This window comes from Homo sapiens, chromosome 21, assembly GCF_000001405.40.
Source record: "Homo sapiens chromosome 21, GRCh38.p14 Primary Assembly".
Classification (NCBI taxonomy): domain Eukaryota; kingdom Metazoa; phylum Chordata; class Mammalia; order Primates; family Hominidae; genus Homo; species Homo sapiens.
In genome coordinates, this window is record NC_000021.9 from 5017159 (window position 1) to 5022530 (window position 5372).

Sequence of the window (5372 nt, forward strand, 5' to 3'; positions counted from 1 at the left end):
CGTTGTCTCTTTCCTCTTCGGATTCTTGTTTTTTTGCGTCTCCGTCGTCACTGCAGACCCACGTTCCGTTGGGTTCTGGAGACTCAGGGTCTCTCCCCCATCACGCTGGCTCATGGGACGGGGCGAGGCCCACGCCGCTGCACACAGGACCACACGTGGTGGTGCGCGATGTACTTCCTGAAAGCATTTCTGTGTTCTAGTTGAGAAGTTCGAGTATATTTATTATAAGATAGTTATTGGTCACGTCTGGTGTTTTATGTGTAGGCACAGCCATCTGTCACCCTGCAGGGCAGGGGGTGGAGGCCAGAAGTGAGCAGGAGGCGTCTTCGGAGCGCCTGCACCGTGTCCCGCATGATGCACTTTCTGCCGGGGCCTTCCCCTTGAGACCGCTGTTTGCGTTCATAGAGAAACCACGCACCCTGATTGTAGCTGCACCAAACAGCCTGGACCTTTGCAAAAGTACAGGACCTCAGCCTTGGCAGACAAAGGAGGGACCTGCTGAACAGACGGTGCGGAGGCCAAGGCCAGATCCACACACAAAAGTACAGGACCTCAGCCTTGGCAGGCAAAGGAGGGACTTGCTGAACAGACGGTGCGGAGGCCAAGGCCAGATCCACGCACAAAGGATGTCACTTGTGGGTCCTACCCCAGGTGGTATTGCTTGCAAAAAGCAGGGCTCCTCCTGGCCCTCTGCAGTCTGAGTCTCAGTGAGGATAAACCCAGCAGAAAGCTCTGCCTCAGGCTGTGCTCGAATCACAGGAAATGAATCTTACAGGGGAACTTTGGGGTCTGCACTGGGACTATTAGTGGTACGTAAAATGCTTTGTGGAAGAAAGGTTAAAATTGGACCCTTTGAAGGTTAAAAAGGTGTATCTGGAAGTAGAATAGAAGCCTTCACTTGAGTGAACATGACTGAACGCCTCTCCCATCTTGGGACAGTCCTGGATGCTTACGACACACATCTCACGTCCAGGGATGAATTTAGCAAGCTCTGTAATGACCCCGGGGTTCCTGAAGCCACAGAGGGAGCACAGGTGAGGGCATCCAAGTGCAAATGAGCCCTCTGGGGAGGCCTGCTTGAGCTGACACATAAATGGGGTTGAAGCCATTGTGAGCCCATGGGCACGGGCCAGGCAGGGTGGTGAGAGCTCCAGACAGGGCGGGCTGGGCTCAGGCTGTGTCCACCCAGGGAACCAGTGTCATGGGCCCAACATAACTCGTGGTCAGTTTCTGTGAGGGCTGCTTCAAAGCAGGGGCCCAAGGCTCTGTTAGGGGCTTTCTGCCACCCAAAATGCACTTTCCTTCTTTTGTTCTCTCCCCAACACTCAGAACTGTCCACACCACCTTGAGATTCTCTATGTATTTTATTTTAAATTTTTATTTTTTGAGACAGGGTCTAGCTAGTCCCCCAGGCTGGAGTGCAGTGGCACAACCATAGCTCACTGCAGCCTCCGTCTCCTGGGCTCAAGAGATCCTCCAGCCTCAGCCTCTGGAGTAGCTGGGACTACAGGTGCATGCTACCATGCGCTGCTAATTTTTAAAAATTATTTGTAGAGATGGGGTCTTGCTCTGTTGCCCAGGCTGGTCTCAAACTCCTGGGCTCAAGTGATCCTCCCACCTTGGCCTCCCTAAGTGTTGGAATTACAGGTGTGAGCCACTGTGCCCGACCTGCCAAGTATTTGAATTTTATACACAGGACCTGTATCATGATCCCATGCTCAGCTGAACCACCCTCCAAAGGATGCCCATGTCCCCATTCCCGGATCCTGTGAATGTTACCTCATGTGGCAAAGGAAGGACTTTGCTGACGGGATTAAATTGAGGTGGAAGGCCTCCCTGGATCATCCAGGTGGGTTCTACGTGTCATCCCAAAGGTCCTCATAAGAGAGGGGCAAAGTGAGGCTTGACCACACAGAGAAGCCACATGGCCACTGAGGCGGCTGCTGGAGCTAAGCACAGGGATGCCTGGGCCACCCAGAGCTGGGAGAGGCAGGTAGGATACTCCCCTAGCGCCTCCACCAGGCAGGCTTCCGCTCTCCAGGGCTGAGAGAGAATAGACTGCTGTTGTTTTGAGCCAGCAAGCGTGAGGTCGTTAGTTCCAGCGCCCACAGGAAACGAACATACAGTCATGCACCACATAACCTTCGGTCAACAAGCAATGCCACAGTGCTCCCATATCACAGCGCGGTATTTTTACTGCACCTGTTCTATGTTTAGATGGCTTTAGATACACAAATACCAGTGAGTCACAGCTGCCTACGCTATTCAGCACAGTCACCTGCCGCGTAGGCTCGTGGCCCTGGAGCAGCAGGCTGTGACACACAGCCTCGGCGTGTAGCAGGCTGTGCCACCAGGGCCAGTGTGTGCACTCTGTGTTCACACAAGGACAAAATCACCTAAGGACGCATTTCTCAGAAGGAATGTATCCTTTTCGTTAAACAATGTATGACTGTTCCCCGAAGAGAAAAGATCTTCCTTGGACCAGAAGTTGAGCTCTCAGCATCAGCGGACGCCCATGCTGTCAAACGCAGGTTGCTGTGCCAGACCCCAAAAGGACCCGGGCCTGGAGGTGCATCAAGGTGGAGATCAGAAGACCCCCACGCCCTCGAAACGGCAGAGCAGGGCGGCCTGGGGCTAGGGGCATCAGGCAGCTGCTTCCTGCTTAAGCACTACGACTCGCACCCAGAGCCTCGAACTCCAGGCTGCACAAATACGATTCCTGCTTGGTTCCCAGTTGGCCCTGGACGCTGCCAAGGGGCCCTCTCTCCACACCCCTAGAACAAAAGCCTATCCTGCCGGCCCAAGAAACAGTCACGGTTGAGGGGGAAAACGAAAACCTTCCTTTGACTACAGGAAACTTCCCAAAGGTTTCCCTGTTTCTTCATCTAAACCCATCTAAGTGTTGTGACACATGTGCCGGTGTGCTGTGTGCGTTCACTTACAACAGCCCCATTCATGTATATGTCACACGTCAGGGGATGCAGGCACCAAGGGGCTAAGGAACTTTCTGGGGTCACACAGCTCCGGAGTTGGGATCTGAACCAGCCACCGCTTACCGTGGTCTCCGAGGTTCCTGGGCTGGTCCTGGCACCCTCCCCCGCGGCCGCCTCGGCCTGCCTCAGTGTCCCCTTCTGGCCCAGCTGCCTTCCTGCCCCTGCCTGGCTGTGGCCTCCACGCGGCGTCCCCTCTCTCGGGGGGGCGGGGGGGGGGCTGCCCGCAGCACTTGGCTTGCTGGGGTCTCCGGCGTCTGCCCGGGAAGCAGAGCCTGGACCTGCCCCCTCGGCCACAGCACGGCGGGCCCTGCGGTGTCGGCCCCTCTCCCACCGCCCCCGGGCGGCACTGGGGGGCTGCGGGGTCCGGACGCACCGACAGGGCACCTTCCCTTCGCCGCCGCGGATGACCGGCCGCGCTCTTGGGAGGCCTTAATTTGGGAGGCTCTGCTCCCCCAGGACCCATTCCCCATCCTCCCAAAGCCCCCACGCGGTATCCGGGGGCCGTCCCCCTCTCCGCAGTCCCGCGGGTGGAGGGGATTCAGGTGCGCCCGGCCCTGGGGGTGGAGCGCTCGGCCCGGCGTCAGCTCATCGGCGCGGCGCAGCCCCGGACCTCAGCCGCAGGCCCAGAGGCGCGCGGTTCCCGGCCGGTCAATCAGGGAGGGCCTCCGGGAGGAGGTGGCGCTGCCCGCAGCCCGCCCGGCTCACCTGCGCCCTCCTCACCTGCGCCCTCCTCACCTGCGGGGCCATGCGGTCCCTTACCAGCAGCCGCCCGCCCCGGGGCGAGGAACCTCAGCCCCCAACATCGCCACCCCTCCAGCCTCGCCGGTCCTAGCCGGCGTCCCTGGGCGTGTCCCGGGAAGCGCACGTCCACGCTGGCGCTGGACCGGGTTTTCTGACTCCAGGGACGGGACTCGTCCTAAAGAGTCCGGCTCAGATGCGGTTACGCGCCTCACCTCACCCGGGTGCGGACCGCCAGTGCCTCCGCCCTGCACTCCGCGGGCCCTGCCCAGCTCTTCCCGCCGGAGGGCAGGTGGCCCCCGCCCCGCCCCTGCCAGGCGCGCGATTTTAAATCCCCCCAACCCCCGTCTCTCAGCGTGGCCTGGGAGGGGGAAGCCGCCCGGCTTCAGGGCTTCCTGCGCCTTCGCCGCCGCCCTCCCTGCCCTTCCCCGCCGCCGTCCCCCCTATCCCCCCAGCCCGTCTCTTCCGCCTTCTTATTTTGTGCCTGGGCTCTCTGCTCCGCAAAAATGTTGACTTCCCACGGGCAGAGGTTTCAGAATTTTTTTAAAGCTTTTGTCCACGGCGTTCTCTACATCTTGGTTGAAGGAATGGCAGCCTGCGGGGTGCCGTCTGGGGCCCCCGTCTCCCTGCGCTTCTCGCCTCCTCCATGCGCAGGAGGCGGTGGGGATCCGAGCCTCAGCCCAGAGGCGGGGGCTCCGGGAGGAGGGTGCCCCGCTGCCCTGTCTAGCAGCCTCACCCAGGCCCTTCCGGAGGTGCCTCTGCAGAAAGGGAGTCACGTCCCCCCTGGGCCTCACCTGGCTTGCAGGGATCAGGGAGGGAGGGCGGGGTGGGCTGGGTGCGGTGGGGAAGGAGCAGGGACTCTGGGTCCCACCCTCGGTTGCGTGGTGCAGCCTTTCCCAAACCAGCTGCCCCAGACTCCAGGCCAGACGCCACTGCCAAGGCTGACGAGCCCAGAGCCGCAAGCCTGCCTCGGTTTCTCGGCGGGGGATCCTCAGAGCCAGTGTTAAGCAAAGAGGCTGCGCCAGCGCCCTTCACACCCCTAGAAGGCTAGGGGAGCAAGGCTAGGTGGGGGCGGGCTGGGGCTGGCCCAGAGGGTAGAGCCCGCCCACTTTCCCTCCCTCCTTCCATTCATGCATGCGTTCATTCAGTCATTCATTCCTCAGCAGTCGCTGAGCTCACTCGCCTTAAGTCCTGGAGATCATCGGAGCGCAGCCGGCCAGGGGCCTGGCGCTCTCCCAGCCTTGGGGCCTGGGTCCCCGGACTCCTGCTCGGGGAGGGCCGCAGGACCGGCGCATTGTGCGCGGCGCGGGGAACGGCCCTTGCCTCCCACGGTGCCCTCCCTCGCTGCGCCGGCACCCGCAGCACCCCTGGCCACCTTCCTGCCGGGTACCCCCCACCCCTGCGCTTCCCAGGGCACCTACGGCGCCCAGGTCCGCGTCCAGGCGGACAGGCCGACCTGCCTCTGTCCCGCCTCCGGCCGACGGGCACACGCCTGGGCAGAGCCGAACTTTCCGGAGCCGCCGCGCAGCGCCCCGCCTCCTGTCCCGGGGCGGTCTCGGTCGCCAGAGGAGCCAGGCCGGGGGCGGGGCGGGGACGGGGCGGGGACACGGCTGCCTCCAGCACACCGCGCGCTGGGCGCTC

The 5372-nt window shown here is 61.6% G+C and overlaps 1 annotated feature.

Annotated features, from left to right (window-relative positions):
* Positions 1 to 5372: part of a sequence alteration artifact (region identified as an assembly artifact by the Genome Reference Consortium. This region falsely duplicates sequence located at GRCh38 chr21:44095806-44253496) that runs on past both edges of the window.